The sequence below is a fragment of the Homo sapiens genome, chromosome 10 (assembly GCF_000001405.40).
Source record: "Homo sapiens chromosome 10, GRCh38.p14 Primary Assembly".
Lineage (NCBI taxonomy): Eukaryota > Metazoa > Chordata > Mammalia > Primates > Hominidae > Homo > Homo sapiens.
In genome coordinates this window covers 61,662,087-61,687,759 of record NC_000010.11, presented here as the reverse complement: position 1 = coordinate 61,687,759, position 25,673 = coordinate 61,662,087, and the positions used below count along the sequence as shown (strand labels likewise).

The following is a 25,673-nucleotide window of genomic DNA, read 5'->3' as shown; positions in this document are numbered from 1 at the left end:
AGTAATAATATTAGGGATTTATAATATGTGAAATTACCCTGGTTAGAATCTAAAGGTGACTAACATGGACAGCCCCTCTTAACTTAATTGTTTTCTGAAGGACAATGTCAAGAAATATGTAGATGAACATTTGCCCAGAGAGACGAGATGAAGGGGAAAAGAGCTGTCATCCTTCTCCTTCCAGAAGGGGTCATTATGGCACCTGCATGGGTTTTGTGGCCCTTGTCAACTATCAGTCCCTGTGCCCATTAGAAACCTCCTGGGCTTAGAGCTCAGTTGTAAAAATGTGTTCTGCAAGAGAAACTGGGACTGTTCAAATAGAGAAGGAAAATAAGGATGCTAATACAATGTGCAAAGTAGAATTCCTCTGCCCAGTGATTCTCAAACCCTGATGGGTAGAAAGACCTTGAGGAATAGGCTCTCCTCCAATTTTGGATTACCGTCGTCTCCCCCAACACAAGGACCTTGCTTTGCTTTAATTGATATGAAAACTACTCTGGCTTTTATTGAGAGATACCCCTTAGGAGCTACGTTTTAATATTAAGAAACCACATTGTTTTAAATGTTATTACGTAAAAACCATAGTATATCATATGACATTATTAATTCATACCACAAACCAATATATAAACTTTATCATATTAAACCTACTAGGATTTAAAAAGCTTTCTAGATTTCAGCTAGAATCCTTGCCAAGCAAATCATGAGCATGTCTAAGATATCAGTCAGCACTCTTATTTTAGAATTTTAAATTTTAAAGTTGAAAAACACTGGAGTATATAGTACAAGAGGAACAAAAATATTATGCAGAAGCTTTCAGCTTGACAAAAGATTTTAACCTACTCTTGTTTGAATATTTGCAAACCCTAAAAATGTCCCTTTAGAGAGATGCATGACTCTACTGCAGACCTTGTGACAGATTATATAAAAAGACAAATTTCTTAGTTCACCAATGAAGAATCACTGTAATAAAAATACTTTACTTCCACACACCATTATTTTCTAAGTAGTAAGAAAGACTTAATGAGTTTAATTGGTCAATACTACAAGATATTTCAGGGGATGTAATAAATTTGAGGAAGTATATTCATAAATCTCTTCAATTTCTAATACGAAGCATTCAAAACAAATATTTAAATAGCAATGAATGTTGCTCTTCAAAATGTAGAATTAGGTAGTTGGAAAGATCAACTACCTAAAACATAGAGTCTATTATAATTGCAGCTGATTAATGTGAATCATCCTATTAATAAATATTAATTAAAGATGCAAAGAAAAATGAAATTCTTAATTTATTTCAATTCTAGATAAAATTATATTTATCAAACGCAAACCTTTTTTTTTGGGAATGCAAAGTTAGCCAAACTGTTCACTGTTCTGACTTTTAGTTATTAGGTGAAAGATTTGAACACTTAATTTAAAGAAGATTTAAGTACCTAATTATTGATTGGGCTAATTATGGCATAAATTCTGTAAATATCTGAATCTGCTAAAAACTGAATTACTTTTTACTTAACAGACATTTTCCAGAAGATGTGAAATGAAAAATAAATGTTACTGAAAATAATCCATACCTGATTTTTAAGTAATCAATGATAGCATTGGCTTGTTTTACATCAAAGATATTCCAGTCCTCACTCTTTTGCGAATGTGTTGGTCCTATTTCAGCCATAACTTCTCCAAGCCATTTTATGCTTTCCTCTAAGGACATATGTAGTGCTGAAATAAAATCCAGAGAAATCTTAATTATTATTTTGATAGATGTTTTCAGAATAAGATAATCCAAGATGTTTTCAATGTGCCAAAATTTACTTTGTTAAGTATTTGTGAGGATAAATGGTAAAACTCTTGTTTCTTCATAATAAATTAATACGTTTTATGCAAAAGAATAGAAGCTGGCTGGGCACGGTGGCTCAAGCCTGTAATCCCAGCACTTTGGGAGGCCAAGGTGGGTGGATCACTTGAGCCCATGAGTTAGAGTACCAGCCAAGGCAACATGGCGAAACCCTGTCTCTACAAAAAAATCCAAAAATTAGCCAGGCATGGTGACACATGCCCGTGGTCCCAGCTACTTGGGGGGCTGAGTTGGGAGGATGGCTTGAGCCTGGGAGGCAGAGGTTGCAGTGAACTGGGATGGTGCCACTGCACTCCAGCCTGGGTGACACAGTGAGACTCTGTCTCAGGAATAGCGCTGACCCTGCGCCAACATTTGTAAATTACTACAATGCTACACAATTGTCTGCAGAGTTTATGTTTCCATTTTAGGATGAAAAAAAAGAAAAAAAATTCAAAATGTACTTTAAAATCTTTCTTTAAAATGAAAAGCATTTGTTTTTTCTTTTTTCTACAGTCTCAGAATAAAAGCATGAAAACTGCAAAAAAAGATGTTTGACAGCTGGTGAGGAATGGAAGACTTAGATGGGAGGTTCAGTTACTAGACAGCAGAGCTGAACTTAGAGCTGAAAATGTAAATGAATGGAGTCAATCAACACTGGGCTTTAGCCAATTGTTTCCATGTGTAAATCTGGGTCTGAAGATTTTCAATGGAAGTCAGAAATATGGATTTTTATGTAAAACATCAAGTTTTTTTTTCTTTTCCACAGCCACAGACTTATAACTCATGTAAGCTGTTTCTCAAATATCTGCCCAGTGGTGCTGGTGAGAGCCCGATGAAAATGCACAAAGAGTGACACAACCTGGCCACCACTAAGAAGTAAAGAGCTCAGTGATTTCTCATCTATTCTTTCACAGCTACACACCAATGAAAACAAACACCCGAAACCGTCTTCTGTGGCATTTGTCAGTTGAAAAAGAACACCTTAGACTTAACTTTTAAAATGTCTGTAATAAAAATATAATTCCATTTTCTTTTCTCGTTTGGTTCTGTTATGCTCAGTGTTACTTGTGACAGATAAAACATTATTTACAACCCACACACACACTATCCACCCTTCCCCTGGAAGATGGAGTCAGGTAAGTGGACTGGCCAGGGTGTCCTATGTTTGCAGAAAAGCGATGGGTGTGTGGACATAAGACAGAGGATACTGGAGGTGGAGAGTAGAAAGATACTAAAGCCAGGCTGGACAGGCCGCCTGGGGGAGATGAATGTCAGTGGGGGGCCTGAATGTGGGATCTGGGGGAATTGTGCTGCTCAATGTGGACCCCACCATCCAAATCTCTGTCTCTCTCTGAAACCATCAGTCAACATTACACTTGTTGTAATGTTGATTTGGAAGGGAATGGGTGGAGATTTAAAACAGTTATGAGAACACAGGCTGATTGCTGGACCAGGTATTTCTGGATTACACAGCTACTCTTTCCCACTGGGGTGTAAGTGCTCTACCCTAAATACCAAAATTACTAATAAGGTGAAAGTAAAGTAATTTAAAATGTTAGGAAGACACTATAAACACTAACTTGTAATTTGTTTAGTATAGCTTCTTATCTACTTATAGGAATTAGAAAGAAGCATAAAACTACATAAAACAATTAAAATCTGGTTTAATGAATTACAATTGGTTCGTTTCCCATTGCCTCCCTCCAGATCATCTTTTATGTATGTCAGATACACTGAATTATTTCTGGATAACTAGGTTTTCCTATATCATTCTAAGTGGAATTCAATTATTATTGTACATTTCTCTCTCCATGATAAACTTCTTTTGATAATAGTGGAAGTAGCTTCAGAAATGAAAAATCTGTTGGATAAAAGCAATTCATAAATGAATGGAAAATCTGAATTATTTTATTAATAAAATGATATTAATTAGAGATGCAGAGAAAAGAGAAATTCTTAGATAATTGATTATAATTCCAGATGAAATTATACTTATCAAACAAAAATACATTTATATGACTATTTCCTTCTGAAAATAGTTGAATCTTTAAAACTGTTTTTCTATGTCTAATGTCTTTCTGTAGATAATTGCTTTAAAAATTAGGGAAGTAATAATTTCATTTATCTAACTGAAATATTTGCTTTTTTAAAAATCACATTTAGTGATGTGATTAAAATATAAAAGATTAAGCCACTCAAATAGTAAAAGCTTCTAGAAATAAAATGTATTCTTGAAAACTTAGAGTAATGAAAGAACATACTAGACTTATAATTAATTGGAAAATGTAGGATGATACCTCATAACTGACCTTTATTATTAGTAGTTAGGTGACCTGAGTCTCTTTTTATTTATTTATTTTTGGAGACAGCATCTTGCTGTGTTGCCCAGGCTGGAATGCAGTGATGCAATCATGGGTCACTGCAGCCTCAGCCTCCTGGGCTCAAGCGATTCTCCCACTTCAGCATCCCAAGTAGCTGAGACCACAGATGTGGGCCACCATACCCAGTTAATTTTTCAATTTTTTTTTAGATATGGGGTTTCTCCATGTTGCCCAGGCTAGTCTTGGACTCCTGGCCTCAAATGCTCCTCTTGCCTTGGCCTCCTAAAGTGCTGGGATTACAGGTATGAGCCACTACACCTGGCCTCACTTTCTTTCTATGTAAAATGAGAATACTGCAATACCTATTTTCAAAATTATAGTGCTGTTGGGAGGATTAAATAAGGAATTCATGGCCGGGCACAGTGGCTAATGCCTGTAATCCTAGCACTTTGGGAAGCTGAGGCGGGCAGATCACCTGAGCTGAGGAGTTCAAGACCAGCCAGGCCAACATGGCGAAACCCCGTCTGTACTAAAAATACAAAAATTAGCTGGGCGTGGTAGCGCATGCCTGTAGTCCCAGCTACTTGGAAGGCTGAGGCAGGAGAATCGCTTGAATCCAGGAGGCGGAGGTTGCAGTGAGCAAAGATCACACCACTGCACTCCAGCGTGGCCAAGTGGCAGAGTGACAATCTGTCTTAAAAAAAAAAAAAAAGAAATTCATGTGAAACTAACTCCTGGTACTATTACATGTGTATAGTGCTTTCTAGATTTAGCCCAAAGCCAGCACATTTGATGTCGTATTCAAGAAGATGGGCCCTCACTTGCTAGTGTAGACCCTGTGTGTCCTTAAGGAGTCACTGAACTCCTCTGACTCTTATCAATTTCTCTCATAAGCTGGCATGTGAATTAAACATGACAATATTTTTAATGCAAATAGCACTATGACTGGCATAAGTTAATCTACATAAATGTTACCTGAATTTGCTATTCCTATTGAGGGGAAAACCAATTTAGCATCATAAGAAATAAAAAATATTCTACAGTTACTTGCTAACATTCACATCATACACCAGGGGGATCCATCTAGGTCTATGGACCTGGCTACGTGCTCAGGAGTCTACTGCTACCTAGTTGAAGTGTAAACATACTTCACCTTTTTCCTTGGCACATTTGGTTAAAATTACATTCTTTCCTAATGATGACTATAAGTTTGTTCAGTTTAAAAGTGTGGAGGGATTTTTAAAAAAAATTTTTTCTGCCAGGAGGAAAAACTAGATTCCTTGCTTTTTTTCTGGTTAGGTTCTACATATGTACTTTCTCTCTCATAGTTTATGAGGAGTTGGATGGATCCTGCTCAGGTTTTAGAAATTCATTTTTGCAATAATATCAACAATATAAAGTTTCACATAGAAGAAATGTTACTGAGTCAGTTATAAGTTACAGGAAAAGTTTAAAAAAGAAATATCTTCTCAAATTTGGGATGTGAGGTCCATGAAAATTTTTACTTTCCTTTATTCTATTTCTAGTGTGTGAATACTCAGCTCAGAAGTCGCCAAAGCTTAGGACTGTCCATGTTACATATTCTCTTTTAAAATTTAATTTTTGCATAAGTGATGTATTCATATTTCAAAAATACGTACGAAGAAATCTTGTGAAAAGACTTCCTCCAATATCTGTTGCCCACATGCCCAGTTCTTACTACCATTCACCCCAGGGAATTTTGATTATTATTTTTTTTCTGTATCTTCCAGCATTTCTTTGTGTATACACAAATGAAAATATGGATAGATTCTTATTTTTGCTTCTTTTATAAATAAAAGCATGTAGTTCTGCACCTTGCTTTACTTGATAACTATATATTGTTTCCCATACAGTACACAGAAAGTTTCTTCATTTTCTCCTTGTTATAGCTGCCTAATATTCTATTTTAGAGATAGCTAATAGTTACTGATAAACTTTTAATTTTAGTGTAGTTTTAAATTTACAAAAATTTCACAAGAATACCACAGAGTCCTCAGATATTTAGAGGGTGGATGCCACTGATACAACTTTAAAATGAAATTAACATATATTTGGCAAATTGGCTATTATGAAAACTGTAGCCTTTGTTAAGTATTACTTGAGGTTTTATAACTCAATGGAGATAGGAACTATGTATTTGTTATACTCAGGAAAAACCCGTATTTTTCATTAAAGGAATTACAATAAAATCTGTAACTTTTGCTTAAGAACCTCAATTTATATGGTAAATTAAATTTGTTTTACTTCAAAGGAAAATAGTGTACTTACTTTTAAGATTTTGAAGTGACATAGCTAGTAAAGTCATAAATTTTGAATACTGAATAATAGAGAAATCCATTCCTCTAGCCCACAAAAATCCAGATACATAATAATCTAGTAGAATGGCATCCTTTAAACAAGTTTCAAGGTTTTTGAAATTCAAAAATATTCTCAGTTTTCTGTAAAATAAAACAAAAATCCACATATTAATTCAGATTAGATATTGAACCATTTCTTTCCTAAGTTTTGAAAACAGGTCTTTTTCTTTAATGCCCATAATCTGAAAATATTCAGTTACATCAAGCTTCATAAGACCAAAATGACATTCAAAAAAGAAACAGAGAGAGAGAGAACGAGGATGGGGGAGCAAACTCTATTTCTGGTCTCCTTCCTCCTCTTCCTCTTTATTTTCTGTTTCTCCTCCTTCTCTCCCCTTCCCCTTCTTTCTTCCCTGTTTATGTATAGCAATTTTACTAGTATATTTTTCTGTGAAATTCAACGTCTTTTTTCATTTATAAAATTAAGTTTCTTTTATTTCTGAAAATATTCTGGAACTAAATTGTTAAATATTCTGAGATATATATATTATATATATAATATATATGTTATACATGTATAACATATATATGTTATACATGTATAACATATATGTTATACATGTATAACATAATATATATTATATATGTATAACATGTATATGTTATGTATAACATGTTATACATGTATAACATATGTTATATATAACATAATATATACAAATATATATTATATGTTATATATAACATAATATAACATATAATATGTTATATATAACATAATATAACATATAATATGTTATATATATAAATATATATTATATATGTTATATATAAAATATATTATATATGTTAATATATAAATATATATTATATATGTTATATATAAAAATATATATATTATATGTTATATGTATATAAATATATATATTATATATGTTATATGTATATAAATATATATATATATATTTTTTTTGAGACAGGGCCTTGCTTCATCGGCCAGGCTGAGTGCAGTTGTGTGATCTTGGCTCACTGCAACCGCTGCCTCTCCAGTTCAAGCGATTCTTCTTCCTCAGCCTCCAGAGTAACTGGAATTACAGGTACCCGCCACCATGCCAGACTAATTTTTTGTATTTTTAGTAGAGACGGGGTTTCACCATGTTGGCAAGGCTGGTCTCGAACTCCTGATCTCAAGTGATCTGCCCGCCTTGGCCTCTCAAAGTGCTGGGATTACAGGCGTGAACACCGCACCCAGTTCATTCTGCTATATTTTAAAAAGCATTCCAATTATGTACATTTTAGTCATTTTTTCTAGAGTTATAATTTTCTCTTCAACCTTAAAATTTTTTCAAGTCTATTTTCTTTTCATTTTGGATACTGTTTTATAATCTTTTATTTCTTTATCTCTTCCTTGAGCTTTTATATCTCTGTTGTATGCTTTCTGTAGTTGCTTCATATGTTTTAAAATTCATGATAAAATAGTTGATTATATTTTTTGTCTTCTCATGGTTATATCTTTCTGATGTGTTTGATTTGCTATTTCTCTTTCCTGTTCCTCTCCTATTTTTTCTTGCAGTGTCCTGGAATGCATATTCTTTGTTTACCACCTTATCTTTGGATGAAGGGAGTTTTTGTCCTTGAATACCTACTTTCGGGAAATACACTGGAGGTGGAGACCTGGCCAAGTTACAAACTAGCAGGCATTTTCTGTATGAAGTAACTTTGTGTCAATTATTCTAGCATTTATTTATTTTTTTTAATTGGTAAGGAAAAAGAAAGAAAAGAATGAATAGACTCTCTTTATTATCATATAAACAGTCAATTTCCTGTGCTACAGAAAGGATCTGCTCCAAGCCTGCACACCCTGGTCCTGCTATTGCAGACAAGGGTTCCTGGAATGGTACTTTAAGGTTTCCCCTCCTGGGAGATTAAGCAGATAGATAGATAGATATAGATAGATATAGATATAGATATAGATATAGATATAGATATAGATATAGATATAAGCTCATTCTAAGCTCTGTGACTATGAGCATCCTTCCTTATATTTTCTCCTGCCCTTCTGGTTGATCTATAATGACAGTGGCCATCATCTTTATATTTTGTGGTTTGGACCATTAGCATTCTCTTGGTTTTGACAAAGATGAAGGTGGTATTTCCTTGTTGGTTTTATGTGATTTTGAGAGGGGTAATATGTGTGTGACAACTTTTTACTGCTGTCTTCAAAAATGGAAGTCCTTATTATTCTTAACATCAAAATAAGTGATATAATCAGATTAATAAATACAGCAAGATTGAACAAGTTTGGGAACAAATAAAGCTGAGGTCGAGATAGGTCTATTTCTTCAACATGCATTTCATCTACAGTGGTGTCAGGGTAGACCTGAAACCCAAAAGTGAGTTCTGATTATTCTAAGCTAATCATACTAATTTCACCCCCTTGCCATAATGCCATTTGGTATATGGTATGTCTCAATAATAATTATTGTTCTATGATGGGCCTGCTCCTAAATTATTATAAATAATTCATAACAGAGGATGCAGTTTCTTTTTTTCTGTTGAATAAAAATAAGAAAGAGTGAATAAGTGGCTTTAGTTGCTACCGCCAGTTATCTTGTAACCCTAAGAAAAATGGGTTCTAAGATTAAGCCTTATTTTTTGATGATACTATTTAGACCTTGACTCCATTAACTTTGAAGTTAATCTATCTCTGAATTTCCTGTTATGTCATATATATATATATGTGAACATTGTGTATTTTTAATTTTTAGGTCAATATGGTCAGTTTTTTATGTTGCATGTCACTATACATTTTGACACATTTTTTCAGGCATTCACCTCAACTGGCAGATATAGACATCCTGATGATGGTGGTGGTAGGATTTTACTCTATTAGCCAGGGATCTTTAATTTGCACTGGACATCATTTGGCAAGATATATTTCTCAATGTTTAATCTACAGTATCATTCACTCTTAAGTGAAAGTCAGTAAGAAAACTGCCACAATAATGAAAACTTGTGGTATTGTTATGGGATAAATAAGTAGGCCAGTGGAATACGCAGAAAGTCCAGAAACAGACCCAATATATGAGGGAGCCTGGTATATGGCAGAGGTATTATTCCAAATCAGTAGAGGAAGTATAAATTCTTCAAAAATGGTGCTGGGAGAATTGGTTATCCAAATGGAAAATAAAATAAAATACCATCCCACATAATACATTAAAATAAAATCCAGGGTTAAAGATTTAAATGGCAATAGCAAACATTACAAACTTTAATTAAAAAAATATACTTCTGACATTTGGATAGCCCAAAGTTTCTTAAAAGTGACACCAAAAAGATACAAACCATAAAGAAAAAGACTAATAAATTGGTCCTTGTTAAACAGACGAAACACTTCTGGAGAACCAGAGACAATCTAACTACATTGAAAAGACAAGCTGCAAGGACAAAAAAAAAAAAAAAAAAAAAAAAACACCCAAAAAACCAAACACCGCATGTTCTCACTCACAGGTGGGAATTGAACAAAGAGAACACATGGACACGGGAAGGAGAACATCACACACTGGGGCCTGTTGTGGGGTTGGGGGAGTGGGGAGGGATAGCATTAGGAGGTAGACCTAACGTTAAATGATGAGTTAATGGGTGCAGCACACCAACATGGCACATGTATACATATGTAACAATCCTGCACGTTGTGCACATGTACCCTAAAACTTAAAGTATAATAAAAAAAAAGAAAAAGAAAAGACAAGCTGCAGACTGGGAAAAAAAATGGTAATGAACATAACTGAAAAAGGATTAGTATTCGGTAAAGAAGGAGAAATAGGAAGCCTTCATACATTCTTAAGTCTTATCAATAGGAGAGAGGTCTAAATACAGTTAATAATAGATCAGAAATATGTATTCCCACATGGGCTTTGATGTCCTCCATTGGTTAAGAATCTAAAGTAAAGAGAAATGATCAATTAAGATCTTTCCAAAACTCCAATTATCTTTTGCAATAAATTCCTAAAATTGGGACTGCTGGGTTATATTGGCCATGGTGAGATATGCTGCTAAACTTCCCTCCAGAAAGGCAGTGCCAAGTAAGTCTTTCATCAAGACCACACAGAAAGGTCCACTTCTCTATACTCCAATCTACGTTGGATTTTGTCCATAATCTTAACATCTACTAATCTAACAGAAAAATTTATTATTATTATTATTATTATTATTTTTTGAGACAGAGTCTCACTCTTTTTGCCCAGGCTGGAGTGCAGTGGCTCCATCCCGGCTCACTGCAAGCTCTGCCTCCCGGGTTCATGCCATTCTCCTGTCTCAGCCTCCTGAATAGCTGGGACTACAGGCACCTGCCACCACGCTCGGCTAAATTTTTTTTGTATTTTTAGTAGAGATGGGGTTTCACCGTGTTAGCCAGGATGGTCTCGATCTCCTGACCTCATGATCCGCCTGCCTCAGCCTCCCAAAGTGCTGGGTTTAAAGGCATGAGCCACCACGCCCGGCTGAAAATTACTATCTTATATATTTCTTTGCTTATTCATTAGATTGGATTTCTTTTTAATGTCCTCTATAGGTTACTTTTTCTTTTAAGTTTATAAAAGTTTTTCACATACTTAGGGATATTAACCCTTTACATTTATGATACAAGTTTTTAAAAGCATTTTGTTATGAGCCATTTCTTAAAGCAATTTTCTTGTGATTATATGATTTTTGTAACACTAATCCTAAAGTATTTGCAATCACTCACTTTCAATTTTAAATAGCATTACTATAAATAGGGGTCATCTGCTTCAATTCAATTTTATTTTGGTGAGAAAAGGAAATTCAATTACTTTTTTTCTCATGTGCTTGCCTATTTTTGTTGATGTTCTAGAATAATTGTTTCAGTCTATTATTACCATATTGGATTTAATTTTAATTTTAAATGATCCATACTTACTGCCAGGCTTCTTATATCACAATTTCTCATTGGCAGTTTTTTGTTGTTTAAAATTCACCAATGAACTGATTTATTTTTCAGCTGGGTTATGAAATAAATTTTTCAATAAGACCACATGAATACTGTATTTTCTGAGTTGTTCTCTATATTGCAATGTCTTGTTGCCACTATAACTGAACATCAGACAAAATTAGTATTTTATTTTGCAATCATATACTTTTGACTTCCTACATTTTGGTTACTTGTTGCACCACTGATTTTTGCAGACTAACCTTGCTAAGGAAAAGTCTGAGGCCTGTTATTTTCCTGTTTAGGTGACTTGCTTTAAATTTATCCCACAAAAATTTAGCAGGTTTTATTCTATTAAAATATTAAAATCAAAGTTTTATGAAGTGTAGACTATTTTTTCTGATTCACTATGTTGAATGTATATTCTAACTTTTTTGAATAATTGCTTTAATCTACACTTTATGTAAGTTTTCTTAAATTTGTCTTCCACATTACTGACTTGATTTTCAGCAATGTAAGTTCTACACTGGTTTTACTCTTAGCCTTAGTTTCTTGCCTTAGTTCTAAAAGCTTCTTCTTTATATATTTTACCATGTTTTTTTTTTGGTCTCTTGTTTTGTGAAATTGATGCCCTCTTTAATTATTAGCTTTAATCTAACATTTTCTTCTGTTTCTAGCAGTTAGTTTTCCTTCTAATTGTACTCATCATCTGCCATCTGCACACTACGTATTTTTAATTAAATATTTGCCCTGAATATTTGCATATGTTCTTTGCTTTTTATTTTTACTTTTCAATGTTTAGTTGTGTTTGAATGACAGTAACTACTTGCCAAAAAATATTTTGGTGAAATCTCTTTGACCTTTTTCATCTTTGCTGTCCCCCACACTTCCTCCACCACTTTCCCTAATACCATTTGTCTCTTCCCTTTTAACTTGAACCACAGGGCTAAGGATTTATCATTTCCATTCTTTGCTCGGTCATTGTACTCCAAAGGAGATTATGTAGGGAGGCATCTGAAGGAAGATATTGCTATGGTTTGAATGCAAAGTTTCCAGTATTTTACTGGCAAATACGTAAACTTTTTCTCTGGGAATAACGGGAGCTGGAACAGGGGAGAGGGGAGAGATGGCTATGGCGGTAGCATGAAAGAACGTAGGGAAAGAGAAAGATGATTCACTGTGTTTTAGGAAGTTTGGTATAGTGATGATAGGTGATATACCTATCTATTTTGTCTCACCAAGAATTTGGGTAAAAATATTACATTACTCTTGCATGTTCTTGACAATGGGGTGCATTTTAATTCTTAAATATGACATGCAGAAATAAACCTCAAGGCAAGAGCTAAATAGCTCATGGAGGCCCAGTTACCGAAAGGTTATTAAAAATGTCTCAGTGTTATTTTTGTGTTTATATAGTTACTTTCATTTTAGTCCTTATTCTTTTTTAAAAAAAATTGAGATGGATCTATAAATAAAGTCAAGGTTACATTAAAATATTTATGATTGATAGCAGCTAAGTGATCATGAGAAATGTACCCAGACATTTAACTGCTTAAAGTGAATTTCAGAAATATGTTTTAATGATACTTTAATGTTTCATTTTGTTGGCTGCTTTCATGGAGAGAAATTTTTAATTTTAAGAGGTAGGGAAATGTGCTGATTTCTTCTAACTTATTTAAATAGGCTTATAACTTTGTAGACTCTATGATTTTCTGTCACTTGGTGATAGGATACTTAAACTATATTTCTGTCATTTTGAAAGCATATAACCCCCATTTATAATAATGCTATTTTAAATTGAAAGTGAGTGACCGATTGCAAATATTTCAGGATTACCATTACGAAAATCATGTAAAGAATCTCAAGAAAATTGTTTTACAAAGAAATGGCTCCTAACATAATACTGATGTTATTTATCCAAAGATGATGTCTTAAAATTTGAGGTCACTTCAGGTGATTTCTACATTAATGAGACAGTCTAAAAAGGTCAACCTGCTATTGAGCCTGGCTGTTTTTATATTGCTAACTTCTGCATCACCTTCTGTATCACTTACTGTATCCTAGGCCTTACCACCTAAAGATTAAAAATATGTTCAGAATTTAGATATTCAACAACAAAGAGAGCCAATAATTTTAAAAAATCATCACACAAAGTATGATACACAGCACAATTTACAACGTGGGAAGAAATAATTCTGAAAAGCACTTATTTGCAACACCTTTTATTTAATATTAATTGTATTTAATATAATATCTTTTACTTGGCATTTAATATAAATAAATTAAGAACTGTATAAAATGTCTGCTATTCGCATTGTGCTATTTTGCCTAGTATCAAATACCTATTGTTTTGCATTGCAATGATCAATAACATTTGGGGTTACCTGGAAATGGAAAATAACATTTTACATAAAGACATGATCAGTGGTATTGCAGATCAATTCTTACATTAAGAATCAGAATTCCTAACGAACCTTAATTTCTATAAAAATGGTAAAATCATCAGGAGATACTTGCTTAAAAATCTCTGAAATTTTAAATTCACTCATACTTGTAGAGATGCAGATAGTAAGTGGTATGGCTGATCACAGATAATCAATTTCCAGCAGAGGTTGCCAGCGCTAGAGCTGAGCAGCTCAGGAAAAGGCCTGTCAGTGTTATTCACCTGTTCTTGATAAACCTTCCCTTCTCGGATTTTTCTTCCAGCCAGGACATCTGTCATATTCCCTTCTCAGTAGTGAGTCATCTTTATGCTATAACATTTGTAAGATTTGTCAGTGATAACCACTGACAGAGTCATTTTCTATTTGTCTGTTATGGTCCACGACACCCTGTTTGTGTCCCAAGGACTGGCCTGCAGAGAACTGACACCAAGATGCTAGTGCATGACATCATCCCCACTCTCTACACACGATGGCCAATTAGGCTTCCATTCTAAGTGGGATGATTTTTTAAATGGGTGATTACTAAAAACACCTTTTAGGATATTATGTTGTTGGATGTATCTGACAAAAATTCTAAATAGATGATCTACTATAGAAATAAATGGCCTAAAGAGTGAGATGTACATATATTGGAATTACTGCCTATAAATTCCATTGTATTCACATTTTTAAGTAACATGTACACAATCAGAGTACTTAGTATAGCATTATTTCTGATGAGAATCACAGGTGGATGGCAAATACTCAAGATTTCCAAAATAATAAAATGCATTGCCCATTATAATTACAGAAAACACAACTTACTCTTCTTACAACGAGGGAGAACATTCTTTAAGTTAATGTGCATATTGACAGTTTTATGAATGAAAGAGAAAAGAAGACAGCATATGCTATAGCCTGCTTTTATCAACAAACCTCTGCTCTTGGTAAATATTAGTAAGTTGGTTTGCAATGTATTTTCTTTATAAAGGAGACTGTTGAGTAGTGCCAAAAGTCAGTTACTTGAGAATTTTTGTGTTTTGAAGTCTAGATATTTTTCAGTGCATAATATCATAACAAATATTGTGAAAAAAGCTTATACATGTAATCACAATCATTTACAGATGCAGAACTCGAACTGTTCTTCTACATGTGATTGTAATAGTGAAGTGCTTACTCTTGAACTCCATCGATGTCCTCCATTAACAAATCAGTGATTTGGGCAACTGAAAGAAAATCCGGAGACAGAATCTTTTCATGCTCCTGGAATTCAGTGTCTCTCTACCAAAACACAATGTGGAGTGAGTTACTTTAATTGTACGTTTCATATATTAAACCCAATAGTAACAAAGTTGGCTCTTCTTATAGTCTAGTTGCTGTCAGGAAAAACATTTAAAAACAACAATCTTCGAGATGGTATCTTTTCTTTTCCATATTATGCAACGGTACCTTTCACCTGAAAAGTCAAATGGCTAGTCAATCCGTCTTTTGGGCATATGTACAACTGGGTGATGGTTTTCAATTCAACAAATATTTATTATCTAAACATTCCTCATTGAATCTGGGGCTTATGAGGAGGCAAATACAAACAAGAAAGACGTGCTAACCTCAAGAAGCTTAACATCTAGTGAGAGGAGCAAGCCTAGGTTGATGTTAAAAGAAGAAAAGAACACAAGTAAGCCATAATACATGCGGCATTCAGTCTAAAAGAAAGGACAAGCATAGGCACAAGACAAGGAAACTCTATAGACAGGAGTTCCAGGAATAGGCTTTGGAAGGTTAGGTGTGGCCAATGCCCCATGTGAATGAACCAGCAACACCAAGGTTATGAAGATAGGATAATTAGGAAGGAGTTCTGTAAATATCAGCAGTTCACAATGTTACCTAGGTTACATGAGGGTGACTAGTTGGACTTAGGTGGAAGTTAGCATTGGAAAGGTATGGTGGGCAATCTTAAATTTAATGATTCAACAAATATGTACTGAGTGTTCACAAGGTACAGCAAGGCATCATAAATATTTTAGACCCTGGCTGGTTGAAGAATGGTAGTCTGAGAAGTTTGTTTCTAGTAATACAGACAGCACTCAGAACCATGAAGTTTCTGGGCAGGTAAATGACAAGACAAAACTGTGCTTTAAGGAAGGGTAATCTACTGGAGGGTGAAGGAAAGACAGGAGCAGAGGAAGAGTTAAACAAAGAGGCCATTTAAACAGTGCAGGGATGAAGCGTTGGGCTGCTCCGGTCTCCTTGGCAGTGTGGATGAAAAGAAAGTGGTGAATGTAGTCATGTTATGGGGGCCTAAAAGAGGGGAGAAAGAATGGAGATTCTGAGTTTCTGAAATAGGTGAGTTGGAGGAAATGGTGGTGATACTAATAATACATATGCCACCTTTGTGTGAGTTAGACAAAGATATCCTCTTTGGGTGGAGGAAGTGCTGAAAAGATTTCCCTAATGCTGACACAGCTCTGTGTCCAAGTGTACTGCCTGTGAATAGAGTCTAGTTTTAGCCCCCACTCACCCCTCAGCCAAGTGCTTTTGCTCAGAGCACAACCTGCATAACTGTACATGTCAAACCTTTTTTTTTTTTTGAGACGGAGCCTCACTCTGTCACCCAGGCTGAAGTGCAGTGGCTGATCTCGGCTCACTGCAAGCTCCGCCTCCCAGGTTCACACCATTCTCCTGTCTCAGCCTCCCAAGTAGCTGGGACTACAGGGGCCTGCCACCATGTCAGGCTAAATTTTTGTATTTTTAGTAGAGACGTGGTTTCACTGTGTTTGCCAGGATGATCTCGACCTCCTGACCTCGTGACCTGCCCGCCTCAGCCTCCCAAAGTGATGGGATTACAGGCGTGGGCCACGGTGCCCAGCCAACCCTTTTTATACTGATAGAAATAGAGTGTTGGAAGACTATGCTAGTTTTTAAAGAGCAAGATGTTGAGTTGATTTCAGTGGCTGAGTTTAAGGTGGAATACTAATAGCGAGAAAGAAATGTTTAGAGTTTAGTTAGAAATGCTGGAGTCACAAAGGTCAAGTTTACAGACGTTGGTTTAGGAGTCAACTGCAACTGTGACAATGGGTGAGACTGCTCAAAGCCAGGGCATGAAGAGAAGAGCTGTGAAGGGGAGATGGAAGAGGAGACTGGGAAATAGAGGCAAGACAGCAGCAGCTACACAAAAATAAAAAATTATGAGACTTTGTGGGGAAAGAGGGCAAATGTTTTTCAGTGCAACAAATAGTTATTGAGCCTTCCATGCGATTGAGTTCCAAAAGATAAGGGCAGCAAAAAAACTGCCTTGCGGTAGTTTACCAGATAACATACCAAATTCTTTTTCTTTTTCAAAAGTGGAAAAATCTCAAACCTACCACTTATTGGTAATGGTAATTGGCTTAATGTTTGTAATTTAATATTAGGTTATTGTGCTACATTTTTATCTTTGAAAATCTAATTTAGAAATAAAATATGCTACATTATTAACCACTTTTTTTGTAAGCTACGGTGGGCCAATTAATCTAAACTAGGTCATATAATTAGATTATAAACTCATTAAGAAAAAAGTATTTTAGTATGCTGCATCTAGTAGGTACTCAGATATTTACAAATTGAATTAAATGCACCCAGTTTTTGTTTAAGGTACTGTTTTGATCTATAATATATGGTTATATATTTGTTTAAATGATTTTCATTATATATATTTTTATGAGTGGTAAAGTATAATTATTCCTATAGGGTCAATCCCATTAGATTGTAAATTCCTCAGGGACAGTCATTCAATCTTTTATTTCTTTTTAGGATTCTGCAGTTCTTGATATGTCAACATAGGTTGCTAACTGACTGTCTAAATTCATCTTCATCATCTGATGACATTGTTAGATAGTGGAGCATGATGAAAAGCAGGACTTAGAGGAACTCCAGATCTCATGATAGTTTGACTACTGATTAATTTTATGACTTAAGGCAAGTCATTTGAACCTAAATTTTAATTCATATTAAATATCATTTTTATGTGTTTTAATACACACAAGATTACTGTCATATTAATAATGAATAAATATATACATGAAAAGTGAATTATACAGACATTCAGATCAATTTATCTGATTTGAAAAATCTCTGGGTAGGAGAAAAGTAGGTCACACAAGAACTATATGAAAGAGAATCCAATAATCTTAACCTTTTGGACAGTACTAATTCTAGCTAAGATGCCTAATATTAGAGCCTCATTCTTTTACTAAAATTTGCAGGCTTAATATAATCATCTTTTAGGGGAGTTTGCCTCTGGATTTTTTCTTCTGTTTTAAATTATATTCCTGGACCTATTTTAAACCAGACTGCTTTTTTTGTTTGTTTATACAGTGACTTGCATGAGAAGGCTATCAGATGGCTAAAAATGTTTAATCTTTCAACACATACATTCTGCTTTGTAAAAATTAAAGATATAATAGAAAATTCATAAATAAGCTAAAATATGTGGATATGTAATTGTGGCTTTCTCTGTAAAATTACATCTCCAACTAGGAAAATATGTAAGCTAAATGGCACTGTTAATTCATTTTACTCCACCACCTGGTGGATTTTAAGAGTTATTCCAAGAGCAATAAAACTGTAAGCCTGATATTATCTGCCAGATAATGTTTTTCTCTAATTTTTTTCCCTCTCTAATGTCAACTAAACTTTTCACATTTGTATATATTTTTTCTTTCTAGAATGTAAACTTTTAGGGACATCTTTGTATCCATCACTGGTAGTGCTTTATATAAAAAAAATTTTTAATAAGTATTCACCAAAAGAAAGATAACAGATTTCACCAAAGTTTACTAAAGAGAAGTTTCCTAGTCACAGAGGACATAGACTGGTCTGCAAATTCTAGACTTGGAAGGTGTTTTTTTTTTTTTCCCCAACCCTTAAAATAAATGAACCAAGGAGCAGGAGCAGTGCTGTGCTAAGCCATATTGGAGCTGAAGCAAAAGGAAAAAACAGTAATACAGATCTGATCTTTACTGAAAATTTTAATCCATCAGGGTTTTTTGGGGGCTTTAGGTTTGATTTTTTTAAAGTATTGCATTAAAATAGAAATTATCTTGATTACTGAGTTTTTTGGCACTTCCTTCAATTCTGTGCCCAAGGAGAGTGCCTCGTTCACCTTACCATAGTCTTGCTATGAAGCTAAAAAGCCAGTATTTTAAAAAACAATAAAAAAAGTGAAAGAAAAATAAGTAAAAGCAAGAGGTAATTCCTTAGAATAGTTAATAAAATAGTCAAATATTTGGCAAATGTGACTGAAACATAAAGAAAACAAATTTGTGTCACATTCAGGGGCAATACATTAGAAAATTTTAAGAAAATGGGTGATTTCCTGGGAAAATGTAAGTTCTCAAAATTGATCACGGTTGGACGAGAAAATTGATCTGATCAAAGATGAACTAAACCGGAAGTCTGCTTTCTAAAAAGTCACCATGCCCAGATGGTTTTACACTTGTAGTTTTACTTATTAATCATATAACAAATAAATTCTATGTTAGTCTAATATTTACAGACTATAGAGAGTTCATTTTTAAGAGGCCAGCATAGTCTACACACAAAACCCTGAACTAACAAAAAAGGAAATTATAAACCAAAATCACAAATCAATGCAGATGTAAAAATTATAATTAAAATACCTCTTAGAAAATTAAATTTTAAAATGTACTAAAACAATTACAAGCTATACCTATGACCAAATAAGATTAATTTTAGAGATCCAAGGTTGGATCATCATTAGCAGGTCTAATATAATTTTTATGTCAAATTAAATGGTACAAATTATATGATTATTTAAATATATAATAAACAGGCACTTACTAAGATTCAGCAGCAAAACTCCCAGTAAAATATGAAAAGAAAAAAATGCTAAACACGAAAAAGACTATTTGCCAAAATCATATTGCAAGCATCATATGGAATAGTGAAATCCTAAGTCATTCTTATGAAAACAAGGAACTACAAAAAGGTGATGGATGGCAACATTATTGTAATTCAACACACTATAGAGGTTCTAACTAATACAATAAGAAAACTAAATATGTAACTTAAATAGCAGAAATGAGGAAATTTGAAAATTCTTATTTGAGGATTACAAGGCTGCATACCTAAGAAAGTGGACATTGTACTAACAAAAAAGTTATTACTAATAAAAAATTTGGCAAGATGGTTCTATATAACATAAATATGTAAAAGCCAGTTTTTTCCTATACAAGAAGCTAATTAGAAACAGAAAAGGTAAAAACTTGATTGAATTATACTTGGTTATAAATATGATGAGAAAGGTATAGTATCTATATAAATTATAAAACTATAAAAATTTCAAGAACAAGACTTGATAAAAGAGATTTATTGAAAACTTTCAAATTCAAAGAACTAAGTCCTTCCTACATTATAAATGTAATGTAATGACAGTCTCAAACCCCAATGAGATGATTCTGGAACTTTACAAAATAACTTTTTAGTTCCTATGGAAGAAGACATACTTGTCAAGAAAAAAAAATAGAGTGAACTTTCCAAAATAGATTTTAAAGATGAATGTAAAACGACATGATATTGACACAGTAATGGACAAACTAGTGCGTGGAAAAGCATAAAGAATCCAAAGACTTATTTTGTAGAGATAAATATGTGTATATGTATGCATATACAAAATTTTTAAAATAAAAATGTATATAATAAACATATAATTTATAATTATATTTATATATAATATGTAAAATGTTTATATAACATATAATTATATTTATATATACATATGAAATGTATATATAATATATAATTATATTTATATATACTATATGAAATTTATATATAATATATACTTATATTTATATATAATATATGAAATTTATATATAATATAATTATATTTATATATACTATATGAAATTTATATATAATATATAATTATATTTATATATAATATATAATTATATTTATACATAATATATAATTATATTTATATATAATATATGAAATTTATATATAATATATAATATACACACATAGTTTTGGATTTGCTATTCTCTTCTGCTGCCTATTTTGTCCATTCATGTATACATATAATGGGATAGCAACAGTCAGTCTGTTCTCAATGGGAAGAGACAAAATAGTTTATTTAGTAAATGAAGCTGACATAATCAGTAATTCACTTCTAGAAGGAAATAAAATCAGATCCTCATTTCAAATATAAAAAAATTCTAGACTTGCTAAAGACCAAACTATAGTAAAATAAAACTTTAAATATTAGAAAAATTTTGAAGACTATTTGTGCCATCTAGGGAGGAAGACAGAAGGGAGAGGAGGAGCAGGACTTCTTAAATAAGACAGTAAACCCAAAGACCGACAGTAAGAATGACAAGCCTAAGTGTTTGTCAATATCTCCATGCTACAGCCAGAATTTGCTACAAGTTTTAAGTGTCTGATAAATACAGCTACCATGTACTCACATGTTGAGGTCCATTAGTACTGTTTTCTCAACAATATTTTAAGTGACTTTTTTGGCATTGTCCCCATAGCCTGCATAGGTTGATCTGTACTATGTGATTACAATGTGTTCACTTACATTGAATTATTCATAATTTCGAGAAATACTTCTTGAATGACACTGATGTTGCAGGAAACTGACAATTTTGCTGCTCAATTGAGCCCCGAGTTTTCTCTGTAACGATGGAGTGGGGTCTGTTTTCTAAAGGCTTTAGGGACGACCCAATGTAGAGAGAGTTGTCTATGGCCTGCTCCAGGATATGTTGATGATCTCCTAGACAGGTTACATCATCTTACCCCTCAAAATTATGTAAGCATCCTGTCCTGATAAAGCCGTGAATGCATTGAGTAATTGTCACCTACTGGGTGATGTGATAACACTTTAAGAGACATTACTCAGAAGAAGCAATTGGGAAATAATCATTTGTGTTTTCTTTTAGGTCTCTGATGTAAGTTGAAGTATATTCCTTGTAAGTGTACTACTTATGATTCAATTCCCTAGATATTTTTTTTTTTTTTTTGAGACGGAGTCTCGCTCTGTCGCCCAGGCTGGAGTGCAGTGGCGCGATCTCGGCTCACTGCAAGCTCCGCCTCCCGGGTTCACGCCATTCTCCTGCCTCAGCCTCCCGAGTAGCTGGGACTACAGGCGCCCGCTACCACGCCCGGCTAATTTTTTGTATTTTTAGTAAAGACGGGGTTTCACCGTGTTAGCCAGGATGGTCTCGATCTCCTGACCTCGTGATCCGCCCGCCTCGGCCTCCCAAAGTGCTGGGATTACAGGCGTGAGCCACCGCGCCCGGCCTTCCCTAGATATTTTTGAAGATATTAAAAAAAGTCACTATATGAAAAAAATTATTGATACAAAATCGATCACTGAATTCCAAGTACACATTTATAAACTCCTTTCACTTACAGGTCTATGCGTAACAAATATTTATTTTCAGATTTTTGTCATTTTTTCTGTTATGCATTCATACAGATATCTGCCAAAAGTTTAGTTTTACCATGTAAAGGGAGGCATTTCCTCCAATATTACTAAAGAACTCGGGATGTTGAATTCAGAAGGTTGGCAAGCAGGACTTATTCAATGTCACAGAAAAAATAATTTCTCTAGATCTGCATCTCATATCTGCTTGTTCACAGTAACTCATAGAGTAATTCATAGAGTAGATAACTACCTTTCCTGGCATGCCTCAGACCATCCATGATTTTAATTAGTCATCATAATTTATTGAGTGCCTACTATGTTATTGGGATAATTACTTCTATTCTAGGTATTGGCCACAAACAACAAATGGGAAACGTCAGACTACTGAAAGCTTATGATTTATTTCTGACAGACTTGGCAAGAAAGGAAATAATTCAGAACTGCTTGGCTCAGTTGACTACATGGGCTACTGGCTAAGTCATTTTGGATACAGAATTTATTAGAAATGACACCATAAGCGATTAGCTGTTGGGGGATCAACATTGTAAAGAATTTGATCTGAGAAGAACCTTTCAGTATTTACCTAAAAAGTGGTGGCCTTGGGAACAGACCACAAGAGAGAATCTTGCCATTTTTCTATCTAACATACGACACCCCCAATCAGCACAAATGGGTGGCAGGCAGGACTTGTTTTAATGAATGACACAGCTCTATGCATCAACTATATTCCCCATGAACTACAGAAACTCTGCTTTCATTAAAACGGAAAATGGAGTTTCCACCAAGCAGCGAATTAGCGTGTCATCTTAGTAAATGAACACTGCTAATTAAGTCCCTGTTACAACTTGATTTCTTCTGTTTGTTACTAAGTGATTGAGCACATCCTGAATTGCATGTCATGAGAATACCTGGCCCTCCAAGAAGTTGAAAAATGTGCAAGCTGACAATCCTAAGAGGGTAGATAATAATCTAAGATCTATAACTAGCTCATTCATCTGACTCAACCATTATAAAATGATTTTTTTTCCTGAAGCATAGCACTTCTTTACATCTTTTAAAAAATTTTGTATTTTTTTAAAGTCCAGATTCATTAAAACCCCCAAATGATCAGTCTTTTTGGAAAGGACATGGTCTACGTGGGTGAGCATATGTATGTGTACACTGATAATTGTGCATAGTCTTAAGCTTGGTATATATTTAAATAACACAATTTAATTGGAAAATTTCCTGTGCTACTTTTGAAATTGTATTACTTACATTAGAGATCACAAGGGAATAATAGGCTTAGTACCAGTTTATCACATTAAAATGTACTTTTAATGTCTGCTAATTTCAAAAGGCTCATATGAGAGTCCGCATGCCTTAGTGGTCTGCATTTTGTATTGGTAGGAATCTCGACTGGGAACAGCTTATATATCTCTGAGCAAGGCATGGAATTATTGGCTCCTTGTGTTTCCTCATTTATAAAATTGCAGCTAACACTTATCTTCTGCACAAAGAATGTCGTTTAGACCAACGAATAAGGAAGTCAAGCAAAGCAATGTTAATTAAGACATGATTATTCACCTTGAGAGCCTTAACAAAACGGAGGAAAAAAAACTTCCTAGGAACAATCGTAACAGACTCCGTGTGCAAAGATTTAAACTTTTTTTTTTATAATATCTGGCACAGCAGATGTGTTCTTAAAATCTCAGGATATTAAGTTTATGAGTAAAGTTACTTAAAACCCATTTATTATGGAGAGCTGGTGATGGGAGGGGCCTAAAGATCAACCTTTTGTCACACAGGAAGCCACTGGTGTCCAAGGAGATTAAATAACTTTCCTAAAGTCAAGCTGATGAGCAACTAAAGCCATAACCAGAGAAGATTTTCCAGCCAGTGTCCTTTCACCTGTATTTATTTGTTTAGGAAAATGGCAAAATAATGGAAACACCAATCTTCTAATATTAATCAGTCCATCACCAGTAAACAGTTATTATTTCATGACACCTTTTGAGCAATCGCAACACTGTAATCATTACAAAATTAGTAGCAATTTCAAAAAGAGACTGGCTCATTTAAAAATCTGAGATTACTTATTTTACCTAGAATTAAAAAAAAAAAAAACATGAAAAACCAAAAAACAAAACCTGCGGTAGAAGCGCGTGGTTATGAGGGCGTTTGGGCACGGAGCCGTCCAATGGAAGAATTCATACATTTAGACCCGCTGGCACCGTGCACGGCGCGCCGGGGCCGGCTGGGGGGCGCCGGGCTGCAGAGGGTGTCGGGGACCCCAGCGCAGCTCCCAGCCCTGCCGCCCTCCCAGGCCGCTCACCAGCCGGGGCCAGACGTGCGGCGCCTCTTCGGAGACCGGATTTGGCTTGGCCGCAGACTCCGCGGACTGGGAATGAGCGCTCGGAGGTCTCTGGTACCGGCACCGGTACCGGGAAGGGAAAGGGGCGGTGTACCTCCGATTCGGGCGTGGTTCCCGCCGGGGTCGGCCCCCAGGGAGTCGTCCCCTGCGACATCGCCGCAATCTCGGCCGAGAGAAGCGGCCCCTCGTCACCTAGGCAACTGGGGTGGGGCCGGCGTCCCTGGGCCTGGGAACAGATCCCAGCGGAAGGCGGCGCTGGGCCCGAGCCTCTGCCCGCCGGGTAGAGGGCTGGGGACCGCGCAGAGGAGCAGGAGGCCGGGAGGGAGGCCGACAGCAGCCCGCTACGGAGGCCCTGAATCCTCTGGGAGAGACCGAGTCTTTCCTGTTAGTAGGAGTGAAAGTGGGGAAAAGGCAATTCAAGTAGTAGTAATTTAAATGAAATATGTCAAAGTACCTAATGCTAGCACATTGCAAGTTTCAACAAATATTAAAGTAAGATATATTATTAGAACTTCAACCACTGATTGATGTTTGATACTAAGCAATCATTGTAAATTTTAAAGTATCATGATGGTATTGTGGTCATGTTTAGAAGGAAAAATATGTCTTTATCTTTTAGAGATACATGCCGAACAATTTAGTGATGATGAAATGATATAAAATATGTGATTTATTCCAAAATAATGAGGGAGGGGCACAGGAAATGAGTGGTGGTATAGCACATGCATCTAGATTAGGCATGTGAATGGAAGGGGTTCGATCTTTAATAGTGCACTTAATAGTACACTAGAAAGAAAGTGTACTATTCTCCTTTTGTATATGTTTGAAGTGTTCCACAACAAAAACATTTACAAACAATAAGAAATGTCACATAGCAGCATGAGTATTCTTGACTTCTTTGGATGATCAACGCCTCCTTTGAAAACGAAATGTACTTGGCTTGTATTTACCTGCATGTAGGTTGCTATGCAGGACACTTCCTGTGAAAATCAGACATCATTTAAGTGCTTCGGTTTCCTCATCTGTTAAATGAAATAACA

General features: G+C 34.8%; 1 protein-coding gene across 8 annotated transcripts in view; it reads right to left on the bottom strand.

Moving 5' to 3' along the window:
• The window catches only part of CABCOCO1 (ciliary associated calcium binding coiled-coil 1), a 103,838-nt gene extending 79,007 nt beyond the window's left edge, over window positions 1-24,831 (bottom strand). For 2 of the 8 annotated variants that reach the window (NM_001366908.2, XM_047424714.1), the window contains exons 1-4: window positions 24,595-24,831; window positions 15,025-15,128; window positions 6,448-6,617; window positions 1,575-1,719 (exon numbers count right to left, since the gene is read on the bottom strand). In NM_001366908.2, the coding sequence (NP_001353837.1) occupies window positions 1,575-1,719; window positions 6,448-6,617; window positions 15,025-15,050 (341 nt within the window). In that variant the 5' untranslated portion in view covers window positions 15,051-15,128; window positions 24,595-24,831. Of the gene's footprint in view, window positions 1-1,574; window positions 1,720-6,447; window positions 6,618-15,024; window positions 15,129-24,409; window positions 24,503-24,594 lie in introns of those variants that run through there. The other 6 variants (NM_001366906.2, NM_001366907.1, NM_173554.3 and 3 more) reach the window with 4 other exon arrangements.
• Between the last annotated feature and the right edge of the window lie 842 nt (window positions 24,832-25,673).